We start from the raw sequence: 14,855 nt of genomic DNA, 5'->3' as shown, positions 1-14,855 counted from the left end.
AAATAAGGTAATATATTTATAGTTCATTTTGAACTAATGCAGACACTAATTTAATTCAATTTTATATTAACTAAATGTTGTTATTGTTAAAGTTTATGATTCAATGATTTATAAGGCATGATATCAAATTCAAGTTGGTTGTATTGATTGCCTAATTGAGTAAGTAGTGTGGGTGCTACCTAAAGCATTACAACAACAGTATATTTAGATTTTACTCATGATTTACATGCATGATTAGGGCATGATTTTAAATCAAAAAAGTTATTTAGAAAGAATATTTAATTAAATTTTCAGAAAATAAAGAAAATATTTTCTTCATAATAATAACATATATTACATGTTATATTATTCTCTAAACACTTATGCCACCTGAGTTCCAGTTTATCGAATTACTTTGTGAAATACAGGCATAATATTATACATTCATTCATTTTAACTCTTGCTCATGGAAATCTTATGTTCCTCTATTTTGGCATATTAAAATGTTAGAATGGTTTATTTTAGAAGCTATGTAATCCTGTCACCTGATACTAGTATTAGCCTCTATATAGAGAATAAAATATTAAAATTATAATAAATATAGGTCTATATGTATTCTTCTATATATTTAGGTTACATTTAATAGTTTCTTATTAAACCATTTAGTTAACTTTTGTTATTTTTAGCACTCGTATTATTTGTTATAAAAGTGAAATAGTCTCAGAAAAAGAAACATTATTAACTAATAATACTTTCCATTCTGTACAGTTCTTTGATGAGTTGTATGTTCAAGCTATTTTATATTGCTTTGCTTGCTACCTTGATAACATACCTTTATTGTGTAGGCACTATAAGCATGAGGATATGACAGACTTGTAAGCCTTGTCATATTCCATTTCCTGCAAATAAAAATTGCTCTGCAGTGTTCTGGCATTGACTTCTTGCTGTAATATAAATGGCAGCCCAAACATCCATGACCTTAAACATAATTAGCGTTATCACTAATGTGTGTTTTGTAAGCTAGTATTAGGTATAGTTGAAGGACGATGCTATCTGATCATGGTCACTTACAACCGGGATGCATTGCCTTGTTTTTAGAATTTTCTGGTAAGCGGATGGCAGCAGCCAATGTGAAGTAGTTGCCTGGAAGTAAGACTCCTAATGGAATACTGAATAAAATATTTCCCTTTAGCCAAAAGTTTCCATTTTTCTTGATTCTTCTTTCTTACCTTTTCCTCTTCTGTGCTACTCTCATCTATTTTCTCCGTATTTTCTTCTCTCCTTTCCACTGTTTTTCTCCTTGGTAATCCTCTTTCTCTCCCTCAGATTCATACTTATTCTGTCTTCTCATTTTTGACATCTGGCTCCACCACCAGTGGAGGTCTGTGTGATTGTGTACTCATTCATTCTTCATCCATCCATTCACTTGTTCCTAAGTAAGAAATTATTGAGTCTGCTCTATGTTAGACTTATGCAATGACATTATAGAGGGAATATGGATAACAACAATATCTGTTTTTTTTGTTTTTGTTTTCTTTTTTTTTTTCTTTTTTTTCTTTTTTTTTTTTTTTGAGACGGAGTCTCGCTCTGTCACTAGGCTGGAGTGCAGTGGTGCGATCTTGGTTCACTGCAACCTCCGCCTCCCGGGTTCAAGCGATTCTCCTGCCTCAGCCTCTGGAGTAGCTGGGACTACAGGCATGCGCTACCACGCCCAGCTAATTTTTATATTTTCAGTAGAGATGGAGTTTCACCATGTTGGCCAGGATGGTCTTGATCTCTTGACCTCATGATCTGCCTGCCTCAGCCTCCCAAAGTGCTGGGATTACAGGCGTGAGCCACCACACCCGGCCAACAATATGTGTTTTTATTGAGAGTTTGCTATATGTCAGGCACTATTTTCAGTGCTTTATATATCTTAACAAATTTAGTCTTTACAACAGCCTTAAGAATAGGCCCATTTTTTAGTCTTCATTTTACTGATAAAAGAACTGAGGTACACAGTAGTTAAGTAAGTCGCCCATGGTCACACAGTTAAGAAGTGGCAGAGGCTAGAAGACATACTCCATCTTTAGAGTGCTCAGATTTAACCACTGTTATCTTTCCTTTTAGATATTTGAGCATGCTATTATGGCACGATGTAGTGTGGCTATAGTGGAGATGCAGTGGGATCTTTGGGAGAAGGAGCCCCACAACTGGGAAAACTGGGAAATGCTTAACAGTGACTCTTGAACAGATTTCCCGAAGTCACCTCCTTTTAAATTTTTGAAAAATAAAATTACACCCAGACATTATCAGCTGTTGATAAAAGTAAAAAGCACTGAGTCCATGATTAGAAGGGGAGAAGAGCATTTGCTTGTTTTTGTTAACGGGTGTGTGTTAAAACATATAGGTGTATATTGCATTTAATAGGTTTTTCTTTATTTTTTTTTTTTTGGTGCTTATATCTAGAGACATTTGGCAGCTGATAATTGATACTTAATACCAAGCTTTGGAAGAGTTGTAATAAGGACCTCAGAGTCAAAATCAGCAGAGTTTTCTTCCTTCAAGTTTCCATATCTTTAATTAAACCACATCAAATGAAATAAATAATTTAGGTCTGGAATAATTTAGGTATTGAAGTGAATTTGAGAATTTGAGTAGATTGTGAATCTCACTTGTTAAACTATCCAGTTGCTTAAAGTTAACACTCTACTAACCATTACTAGTCATCACACACTAAAGTTAATATGGTATATAGAACGGAAGTGGTCACAGAAGAATCATTATATCTATATCCATTTAATAAGTGATAAAACACAAGTGAAAATAGAGGTTCATAATTATTTTCAAACTTGTACAGAAAAGAGAAAACTATTACTTTTTGGTCTACAAATACACAAGAAAAAGATGTCATTAATTTATATCTTTGCTGTCATAATATCATTCCTCATATATTTGTTCAATTCTGGAAAATTGCCAGAAGATAATATTTTAAATGTTGATCACTGTTGAATTTGCATAGTTCAAATCTATTTCTCATTGAATATATATACTACTGTGTTTTAGAAGCACTACTTTTTTTGCCTCAATTATTTATGTATGATGTCATTTTCCTACCTGTCCCTCTTGAAAAAGTATTTCTAACCATGGAACATAACGTGTTGTGAAAAATAACACTTTTATTGTTTTATTGTGTTTTGGCAACACACATAGCTCCCTTAGCTAATCTAGAGAAGAGCACCTCTTCACTTAATATGCACTCTGAAAATCTTGTTTGAAAGTTCTAGGTAACACAAAAATACAGTCTGGAGTACATGACCTATGACCTGTATCAGTAAGGAATTTTGACCTCATTTTAATCTGATCTTCTATCTGCTTTTTTCCTACTTCCTTTTGCACTGATATGATTTGTAGACATTAACACAAAGTAAGTAATAAAAATTGGCAATTGTAGTAATAATGTTGCTTCCAAAAGTATTTAAAAGACAGATAATTTGATGAATGTTTGCCTTTTAGCAAAAACTAATGGAAACTCCTAGCTCTGTTTTGTTTTTATGCTTTTCTGTTTCTTCACTAATTTCTGAAATTTTCAAATTTATTGAGCAGTCATTTTTGGAAAAAATGGAAAAAAATTCTGCTTTTATATTCCAACCATTCTTCTTCAACAATGTTTTGTTGCTTTTGAATTTTATCATGCTTTGGATATTAAAAACAAACTTACATTTAGAGGGAAATAAAGAGACACTCTAAAATCTAAAACACTTTGAGAGCAGCTATTGTAAGAAATACAGAAATGTCAATAGGGTGATAATCCTGACCCTAACTTAGAAAGCACTATGCTAGCTTTTGGCTGGTTGAGGAATCTGGGAATGATTTAGGTGGTACAGTGGATCAGTAGTATCATACCAAAGAGAGAAAAGGAAAGTATCTTTTATCACTAATTGGAAACTTTGTTTTCAAATATTTCTTGGATTATTTACAATACACATGGAACAGTGTGTCCACACAACCTTCACAGAAGTGTTAAGAAATTAGAATGGCAAATCCTCTTTAGAAATGTGTAAGTGCAGATAGTCACCATTTGAAATGAACACATCATGGTGGTGTGCAGTGGTGAGAAATGGTCAGTAACAATGGACATGATTTTGCAAAAATCCTTCATAAAAGGGAATTACAAAGAGATGACAATACCTTTTTTGGGATTCCTCATCCTCAGTCTCTTACTGCTTACTAAATGTGATCCTCATGTATGCATTTTAGGAGCATCAGCTTGCATAAGAAAATATTTTCATTTTAATTCATTACATAAAGAAGTATATTGGGTTGTGGCTTTGATATTTTTATGGCCGTGATAGTAATGCTGTATTTTAGATAATAGTAACATTCTATTTCCATAATTGTTTTTCCATATTAATTATACCATACCATCTCATAGGTGAACTTACTGTGGAAAAGATCTGAATGAACCATCATGCTTTAACCCAAGAAAAAAAAATTATGACTTCATGTCTCAAGTTAACATGGTACTTTCCTTGGGTAATCATTTATTATCATGGTAGGAAAACTAGATGTTCTCATGCTTTTTTAAATAATGGCTTCAATATTTCAATATGGATTTATTTCTTTCTTCAGGGCCGGTGCATAAACTTCTCCCGAGTTCCATCTCAGTAAAAGGGAAGCAGGAAGACCAAGAAGGTACGAAGATGGCACATTTTCACATAGCTGATTTTCAACCAAATGAAAAAAATCAAGTGCATTTCAGAAGCTTTTGGAAGAGCAGCTTAATTCCTCTCAGTCGGGAAATGTTTTCTCTGCCTTCTGCTTTGCTTGCACCAAACATTTCTAAACACTTGTTCTGCCATCTACATGGGAGGTGATGAAACTCAGTGGTAACTCATGATTTATGACATTGAAAATAAAGAGGAACATTGACCTGCAGACTATGGTTTGTACAAGAAAGTTTGTTTGAATGTGTAGAAGAGGAAAAAGCAACAACAGCAACAACACGAAGATGATACCAAAACAAGGACCACAAAACAACTAGCCATGATGGGAGACAGGAGTTTTTTACATGGAAACATGGCACTTGTGTTTTTATGTGGCAAGATCTTTATCCATAGGCAGAGTATGAAATTTCCCACCAGGCTAAGCAAATAAAGAAGTCCATTGCCTTATAGCTATGTCAGATCACAGAATCCTTCCAAGTGCTCTATCACAGTGTGCCTTATGGGAAGTTTCTGACTGGAAAATCTTGTCATTCTAACACTGAAAAGTGCACACGCATGACAAAATGTAGACAAGATGCCTCAAGGTATTGGTAGCAAGCAAGATTTTGCCCTTTAGTTTTCGAAGACACCTTTCTTTCATTATGCACTCGGGACAAGAAAATTAATAGAGCGTTATTCCACAGAAGGCCTCTAGCCAGAGATCTTGAGTGTAGTGCAAGGGACTCATTTTTTGCGAACTTGTCCCTGTGACTAGTAGATTCCCCCTTTTCCTGTGTTTAGGATTTAGTAGTGCATAAAGCATTAATATCCATAAACATACCTAGAAGTTTGTTTTGCTTTTAATTTAAAGGAAGCAGTAACCACAAAGCTTCCGCTCAGGGTTTTTTCTTTCTTCAAGTCTCCAAGGGCTCTTCAGCGTCACAAGCCAGCAACTCTCTTTGCATTAAAATTTCAAAGTTTAATTAATATAATTAAAAGCAACAGCAAGCAGCAGCCTGTGAAGATTTTGCTCATCTTTTTTATGCCTTTTGACATTGAATGACCTATTACTGTATGCGCATTACTTGGATTTTGAGGGGCACTCTACCTTGGTTATGATTCAGTAGAGGAAAAAGACCACCTTTCTTCAATTTACAAATTAAATCTTCTGGAGGGTCGCTATCACAAAACATTGACGATGTATGTATTATAATTTTTTAGAAAAACCACCATCGTGTCACGTCGACGATGCCAAATTATGTTAGCGTGAGCAGAAACACCGTGGGGGAGGAAGGCAGCAGCTGAAGAAAAAAGCTCAAATGATCTAGTCACTTTCGATACTGTACTTCAGATGCGAAATGGATATTCGAGTGGAAACCTGACAAAGTGCGCCTGCTTTGATGTGAACTGGTATAGACAATGACCAGTGGCTGGGTCAGTGGGATGTCTCTCTGTGAGCACAAAGGCTTATCAAATGACACTAAAAATAAGTTCAACAACCATCACATTGGAAGGGAGAAGGCGAACATTTCATGTTTGGCGGGCATGTGAGTGCACAAGATGGAAAGAGCGATTGGAGCATCCTGGTATAATTACCCCCATTGTGCTCTTAATGGAAATTTCAAAGGACGGGAGTATTCTGTTGGTTGGTGTCCAGGTTTGTGGCACTGTTCCAAGAGGCCTTACACACACACACAAATATATAATTTTCTATACATATATATCCTCTAGCTTGAAACTTTTGCTCAAGTTTATTTATGTCACTGGCTGGCTGGATCCAAAGTCATGTGTCCACACATTCATAAATAAAAATTTTACCTATGCCTGTGCTACCATTTCTTTAAGCCCACATAAAGCTAATGCCTTCTTGGGTTGAATATGCAGTTGTTATGCTTAGTTTCAGGGATGGAATTCTATTCAGTTCCAAAATGTCCCTCATGTTCACAGATGATACTATTGGCAGTAGCTGCATATGCAAGTGTAACTTGGAAGCCTGATATAGTATACCCAACCCTTTCTGCAATGAGTTATTGTATCCCTTTGTTCTGCATTTGCATCTGGAACAAGACCTAATGTGGCTTCCTTAAATGGGCACTTCATTTCTGATGAGTGCACACCAATTATTGCTATTTTAATATCATTGAGAATACTACAGAAGCTAAGGCTATGTTTCTTTGGTAACTACTTCAAATTTCTCTAGAATTATGTAGCATACTTACATTTTGCTGCATGAACAATGAAAATTAACCTCTGCCTTTAAATGGAAAAATAACTTTCTGTAGATTGTTATACAGCTACTATGAAGAGCTCTTAATGAAGAGGAAGTGGCAGTGGTCTATATGTAGACTGAAAAAATATCATTAATAAAGTTCAAAGACTGATGGAATTTCATTGCCCTTAAAGATATGAACCAGATCTGTTTTATGCTTTTCTCCAATTATACTAACTAGCAGTTGAAAAGAATTTGTTTTGAAGAGTGTTATTTTCTTACCAAAAGACCAGATCAAAAATCCCTATACTTTTCCACCAAAAAAAGATTAAAATGAAGCCATTTCTATAAATTTAATGGCACTTTATATTTTATATAGAGAAATAGCTTCTGTTTGATTTTCTGGACACCATGTCAGTCAAGATCTACTTTCTGTGTAAAAATGAATAAGTCTTGCACATAATCCATTCGTGTTGCATAAGGTTGCAAAAACAATTAAGTGGGAAATGACTCCTAACTTATGTGTCTACTCTGCCTAGAAAGAAAGTTTTGAAGGCATCTATATATATTTCATAACAATGTCTGTTCTTTATGGATTTGATCCATAAATATTTATCTATCTGAAAACTTTGATACTTGGAATGTTTTCCTTAGAGCATTTGGTGCTCCAAGAAAAAACATTTGGTGCTAAGAGTTGCAGCACTGATGCCTTTCCCTAAGTTAATTCTATTTTAAAAATTTATATTTCCTTCCCAATGAGATGCAGAGTAAAATTTGAGACCCTCCATTGACTAGGGAGCAGCATCTGTCATCTATGGTTAATTACTATTTTGACAAAAATATAGAAGGTTTAAACCCCCATGTATTTCAGATTGTTAGAGAAAGAAGTAGTTTGCTTATATTTCCCTTGAACTTTATTCTAACCATTTAAATAATAAATTATTCAATATTTGTTATAATAAATCCTTACTAGATACAAGATTTGGGTGTTTCTGTGAAGTTAACTTTATTATCTAAATATCACTAACCATTGTTTACTGCTCAGAGGCAGATACATTTGTTTAGTTTAAAGTTGAAACAAATTCTATATTGTGGATAATTAGGTGTTTAAAACATTTTGATAGACCAGCTTATATATGTTATTTTTGAAATTTAAGAAGGCAGAATGTAATTAGGTCACATTTACAAGTAGAAGGAATTATAACTTCCTACTCCATGCATATATTGTATATTGGTTAGCTTTTACTAGCATTTTCTAGCATCACATTACTTTAGAAAGTTTTTGAGAGTTTCATTACTACTGGAAAAGTTTGGTGGGTATATGTACACAGGAAAGAAATATATGCATCATTTCAATATGAAAGGAAATACATAATCTAGAAACATAGAATAACTCTTGGTACATCTGTTACATAGTTAAGGAAAGAAACAGGCAGGTGAGGCTGGAGAATGTTGTCTATTTGTAGGAAATAAAGTCAGTGCAGACGCATATTCTAGTTTAGAGTTAGATTAATATTGTGCTTAGTGAATTTCTATGACATATTTCTGAGAACACTTTAATATATTTCCACACCTACTGGAATCTAATTCAGTCGATCGGATAAAAGAAAGACTTTTTTGTTGTTGTTTTTGAAAATCCATAATGTAGCAGGTTCTGCGCTGGTTTTTTAATGTATTTTATTTTTGTGCTCTCCTGCCAAAAGAAAAGGCTGATAAGTAAGTACACAGTACAACATGTAAATTTGTATAAAAATATGCTTGTTTAGATTGCTCTACAATAACTATATTAAGGTAAATTGTGTGTGTGTGTGTGAGAGAGAGAGAGAGAGAGAGAAACAGAGGGAGAATTGACTCAATGTGTTTTCTATGAAGAGTCTTAGCTTAGGAATCAGGTAACAGAGAGGTCCTAGACCATAGACCCAGCCATCAACTAGCTTGCTGATGTTGAACAGATCAACTCTCAACCATAGACTGAAGATGGAATGAAGATATCAAAAGTTCCTTTTAGCACTGACTAGATTTTTTTTCTTTTTTTTGAAACAGAGTCTCACTCTGTCACCCAGGCTGGAGTTCAATGGCATGGTCTGGGCTGACTGTAACCTCCTCTTCCTGGGTTCAAGTGATTCTCATCCCTCAGCCTCCTGAGTAGCTGGGATTACAGGCACATAACACCACACCCAGCTAACTCTTGTATTTTTGTAGAAATGGGGTTTCGCTATGTTGCTCAGACTGGTCTCAAACACCTGGCCTCAAGTGATCCTCCTGCCTCAGTCTCCCAAATGCTGTGATTACAGGCACAAGCTACTGCACCAGGCCTCTGACTACATTTCTATTAATATGGTTAGGTTGGAGGTTTTAGTATTTTTGTATCTCATATTTGTATCAATATGACTGGCTTCTTTGTCTGTAGTGTGTGGTAATATTAGTTCTGTAAACTGTCAGTTGCAAAAAAAAAAAATACCTTGAACTATAGTATATGTTGATAATTAGCCATAATAATTTCTTAGTTAATTTCTTATAATTAAATTTGTCAAAGAGGAAACTTACAGTTTATATCTGATGAAATCTCTAAAAAGATGGGTAAAACATTGGGAAATGTATGCATGTACTTCACTCTGGTTTCATAGGGTTAGCAAGTGTCTTAAAAACATATATAAAGAAGCACAGAGATTGTTAGGAGATATTTATGCTCCCAGTTTTAATAATTGGGATACTTTGTATACCACAGAAAGAAAAATTACTAAACTCCTCTTTTTTTAGTCAAAATTGGAAAAAAAGTCTTAATTGACAGTTACTATGCCTGTGCTACCCATAGCAAGTATTCAGTGGAAAATACTTTACTAAGTAAGTAATTTGAACACAGCTTAAAATCCATAGTATGTTACAATTGCTAGCCTTTCACAAAGTTTGCATTGTCTTAATGTAGAAGGATACTGTGATCTAAGAATTCACAATTTTAAAAAGTGGAACCTAAATAGGGTTTCCTAATTGCCATGAAGTTATTTGTATCTTAGATGAATTATATTTACAACATTGTAAATGTCAGTGGGTGATCCAAAATAAATTGTTAAAGTTATTAAAATGTACATTTAAGTAGGTTTCAGTTTGACTAGAAATAATTGGCAAGAAGGCAAGAACTAGTCTTCTAGAGCAGGGATCCCATCCCCCAGGTCATGGACTGGTACTGGTCCATGGCCTGTTAGAAACCAGGCCACACAGCAGGAGATGAGTGGAAAGCAAGTGAAACTTCATGGGTATTTACAGCAATTCCCCGTCGCTCGCATTACCACCTGAGCTGTGTCTCCTGTGAGATCAGCAGCAGCATTAGATTCTCAAGGAGCACAAACCCTTTTGGAACTGTGTGTGAGGGATCTAAGTTGCGCATTTCTTATGAGAATCTAATACCTGATGATCTGTTGTTGTCTCCCACCACCCCCAGATGGGACCATCTAGTTGCAGGAAAACAAGCTCAGGCTCCCACTGATTCTACATTATAGTGAGTTGTGTAATTATTTCATTATATATAACAATGTAATAATAATAGAAATAAAGTACATAATAAATGTAATCCACTTGAATTATCCTGAAACCATCCCCACCCCCCACCCCCCGGTCTGTGGAAAAATTGGCTTCCACGAAACTGGTCCGTGGTGCCAAAAATATTGGGTATGGTTGTTCTAGGGTGTAGACTATGAAAAAGATATGCATTGTCTCCATGAACTAAAAGGCAAGGTGATTTTAAACAATTTAGATGCCAAACAAAGAAACCAAAAGCTTCCAAAGTAATAAATGATAGAGAAAGGAAATTGTTACATCATGTGCCAAATTAGAAGCAAATCTAAACTTCTTATCATGTACTCCACCATCTGATTTGTATAAGTAATTGGGGAAAGAAAAACTCACAATATAAAACAAGATTGACTAGTTCTAGCAGATGACACCTGTAAATAGAATTTTTACTAGTTGAAATTCTGATGTGAAATGAAGCCATTATTATTATCACAATAAAGTGTTCTTTTTAGTTCTTTTTTTAATATCCTCTAGTTCTGAAAGTCTCTGTTAATTAAACAGCAATGACAGACCTGCATCTTCTGTAAATACTTTGTTTGTGTGAGGCTGTCACATGGAAAGAAAGATTATATTTTAAACAATATGTTCAAGTGTAAAAAATCTTCAACAAATTCTTAATGTTTTACAAAATGGGGAAAAATTTTAGTAGTTTTAACATCTTGGAATTCTTCATAATAAGCTAGGTGTCTCAGAAAGCTTGAAAGGATTTTAAATAATTATTTTAAAGGATATCAAAGACTAAATTGTGACCTGGAATATTCAGTGTACTTTTTCTCATTTTTAGAGGTAGTGATATGATTACAATAACACAATACTAAAAAAAGAGAAGAAAATTACAATGACATTATTGGTAGCTCAGCATCTCTGTATTACTGTCAACACTCAAAAAGCTCTGAGGTGGTGAATTTATACAGTTAAATCAATGATTTTTAAAATTCTAACTCAAAATGATAGAGAAAAGCCAATCTATAATTTATTTTAAAACTATAACATTTATTGAGCTGGCAGAGTAAAAATATCATACTCCTCAAATTATTCCTTTAAAATCATTAATAAAACAGAAGGTATCACTTTGCCTTAAAAATATTTTCCTTAATTTCAAAAATCAGTCTGATAAATCTCAACCCAGGGTCATTACTGCATATGTTTATCATTTCTAACTTTTCAAGAACACTTTGAACATCAATTAACTCGAGAAGAGAGGGCTTGTATTAGTTTCCTCTTGCTGCTGTAACAAATTACCACAGTTGCTTAACACAACACAAATGTATTCTCTTACAGTTCTGGAGATCAGAAGTCCCAAATCTATTTCAATTAGGTAAAGTTAAGGTTTCAAGAGGACTAGCTCTTTCTAGAGGCTCAGAGAGAAGAACTTATTTCTTTGCCTGAAGTAGCTTCTAGCGGCTGCCAGTATTCCTTAGCCTGTGGCCCCTTCCTTCATCCTCAAAGCCTAGCACTCCAAGCTCTGCTTCAGTCATTGCATCCCCTGTTGTGACTGCTCTGCTGCCTCCCTCTTATAAGGACCACTCTGACCACATTGAACCCACTTAGATTATCCTAGATAATCTTTCTGCGTCAAAACCCTTAACATAATCATGCCTGCGGAGTCCTTTTTGCCGTAGAAGGTAACAATCACAGGTTCTGGGGATTAGGATGTGGACATCTTGAGGGTCCATTGTTCAGCCCACAACAAAGCTTATAATCATTTTCATTTCATTGAATATTTGCTTGTATCTGACACCATAAGAAGATATACAAGATGAATTCTGCTTTCTACTTTAGAACCTTACCTGCCCAAATTTCTTGTTACACTGTTTTTTTGTTTTGTTTTGTTTTGTTTTTGTAACTCCATTTGTCCCCTTTCTACTGCTTTATATTTTACTTGAGATTTTTCTCAGAAAAGGAAAAATGCCAGGGAATAAAGTTTTTTCGCCAGATGAAAAACTTCGTCCAAAACTGAGAAACACATGTCAGGTTATTGTTGCCTCTGGAGCATTTACTTGGCCTATCTGCACATGCCCGGAAGTTAAACCTAGAGTCAGTGCCTATAATATTTTCTTCTGTCATACTGAAAATCCACTTAGAAGGTATTGAAACATCACCAGCGACAAAGAACAAAAATAAGTTGACATTCTAATGTTAACATCAGTAATAGACATATGAATCTTAGAAAGCTTTCCCCACCTGCTAATTGTTTTTTCTAGAATAAAAAAAAAAAAAGGAGAGTGATTTTAAAGTCGATAAAACTAGGCCGAGTGTGGTGCCTCATGCCTGTAATCCCAGCACTTTGGGATGCTAAAGCTGGTGGATTGCCTGAGGTCAGGAGTTCGAGACCAGCCTGCCCAACATGGTGAAACCCCATCTCTACTAAAAATACAAAAATTACCCAGGCGTGGTGGTGGGCACCTGTAATTCCAGCTATTCGGGAGACTGAGGCAGGAGAATTGCTTGAACCCAGGAGGTGGAGGTTGCAGTGAGCCGAGATAGTGCCACTGCACTCCAGCCTGGGTGAGAGAGCGAGACCCTGTTTCACAAAACAAAAATAAAAATAAATAAATGCAATAGAACTAACACCCATTTTAAATATTTTTCAAGTAGTAATCTCAAAGAAGACATCAATAAAATTGAGAAACTTTAAAATGAAAGAAGTAAAAGGGATCAGATTCTCCCGGTAGATTTTCCCTAAAACATAACATTATGTGCCATGCACCTTGAGTTCTCAGAAAGAAATTATTGTATACACGCAATAGGAATAGTTTCCACATCTCTCATATTTTTGTACTTTATATAGCTACACATGCACACACAGACACTCCTTTCTAAGTACTGTTACATTTGAAAATGCTATGAATGACCTACAATATGAACTTTCATGCACTTTGTGATCCTAAGCCTATCCCTGATTATTCATGTGAAGTAATTTGACATCTCTAAATAGTGAGTTCCTAACATGTTTAGAGGAAATCAGGCAAATCACTTGATAACATTAATAACATATTATTTTACAATTTTCCAAAGTATTTTTATATATTTTTTGTTGTTTTTATTTAATAAATATATACCAGATGCACATGACATATACAGTGCTAATTTGGCCAAAATCTAGGCAAATTTTATGATAAATTGCATTATAAGGGTATGGGTGAAGGGTGGAAGGACCTTCTCTTGAAACTCAGTAAAAAAGTCTTATAGCATGAATCCTGAGTGGCCCATTTAAAGATAAACCCTGATCACATAAAATGAGATTTAATGCTAAATGAGGCCTGTTTTATACAGGTGCCCCTAGATAAACTGTGCGGCTGAGAGTATCTCATTTTGCTGCCACACAATTTTCAGTGTACATTAACAGCCTTCCCGTGAAATCAAAATGCTTTTAAATCATTCTATTTGTTGCAAAACATTACTTTGGCCTATGTACAGAGAAGTTTAGCCACATAAAAATTTAATATCCCCTAAGGGTAAACAAAACAAAACAAAATACCATAAAAATGATGAGGTTAAGAAGGTTTACATGATTCCTAGCAAAAAGCAGGGGTTCCTAGGAAATTATTTTCAGGGCTAGCTGAAGGACCTTTTGATAGCGATCATTGCTTTATCACAATTGCAGAAGCAGTTAATGTTGGACAAGAAAGGAAAGAAAACCCAAGACAGTGAAAGGATAATTAAGAGTCTTAGTTTTAATTTCCAAGGATTATATGGTGACGTGATTATTTCACAATGGAAAACTGAACAGATAGATTTATATTTTGCTGTTTTACCTTGTGATAATAAGCTATCCCAGGTATTTATTCTATTTTAACAGCAACATGTGCTCCTCATTTTACCAACTGATCCACACAAAGCAGGTAAAGAAAAATGTTGCTTTGGATGAAACCAGGCACTTCAACTTTACAGCCCTCCACAGCTCTCTACTTTTCTGATAGCCCCTGGAGAATGGCATGAATGACGTCTCTGGGGTGGAGTCCTGGATGTTAGCTGTGCTTAATAGCCAGAAGTGAAAAACCCTTCCAATTAAGCAAAAGATGATAGGTCAGGGAGTCTGGTTTTATTGGCGATAGAAAGGAGCCAAAAACTGACCAAGAAGGTCAGCCATCATGCAGCAATTATACCAGGGATGAAGACCAACAGTAAGAACAAAGCAGAGAGAAAGGAAACTGCCTTGAATTTGAGCATTTATCAGCTTAATTAATGAATATTGGCAGATGCCTGTCTTGTGCCCGTCTCTGCAGTAGACAATGGGATACTGCAGCAAGAAAGATAACTATTCTCAGCAATCTTGTCTGCAAGTGAAGACAGACACTGATAAGATGCAAGTGTCATGAGATCTGTAAAGGGGAAATTTAGAAGTGCGATGAGAACATGTAATGGGAAGGGGCTAGCCTAGCTGGAGTCATTAGAGAAGGCAGTGAAAT

General features: G+C 35.1%; 1 protein-coding gene across 3 annotated transcripts in view, besides 1 other annotated feature; it reads left to right on the top strand.

Annotated features, from left to right (window-relative positions):
- Positions 1-10,912, top strand: part of ANTXR2 (ANTXR cell adhesion molecule 2) — a 172,327-nt gene extending 161,415 nt beyond the window's left edge. For all 3 annotated transcript variants that reach the window (NM_001286780.2, NM_001286781.2, NM_058172.6), the window contains exon 17: positions 4,591-10,912. In NM_001286780.2, the coding sequence (NP_001273709.1) occupies positions 4,591-4,629 (39 nt within the window). In that variant the 3' untranslated portion in view covers positions 4,630-10,912. The remainder of the gene's footprint in view (positions 1-4,590) is intronic.
- Positions 13,177-13,377: a silencer, noted in NCBI's record as "peak5063 fragment used in MPRA reporter construct". NCBI's record gives its function as "represses an SCP1 promoter by STARR-seq MPRAs in K562 erythroleukemia cells {active_cell/tissue: K562}" and the evidence as "EXISTENCE:reporter gene assay evidence [ECO:0000049][PMID:32103011]".

The sequence above is a fragment of the Homo sapiens genome, chromosome 4 (assembly GCF_000001405.40).
Source record: "Homo sapiens chromosome 4, GRCh38.p14 Primary Assembly".
NCBI classification, from domain to species: domain Eukaryota; kingdom Metazoa; phylum Chordata; class Mammalia; order Primates; family Hominidae; genus Homo; species Homo sapiens.
This window is presented reverse-complemented; position numbering and strand designations above follow the sequence as displayed.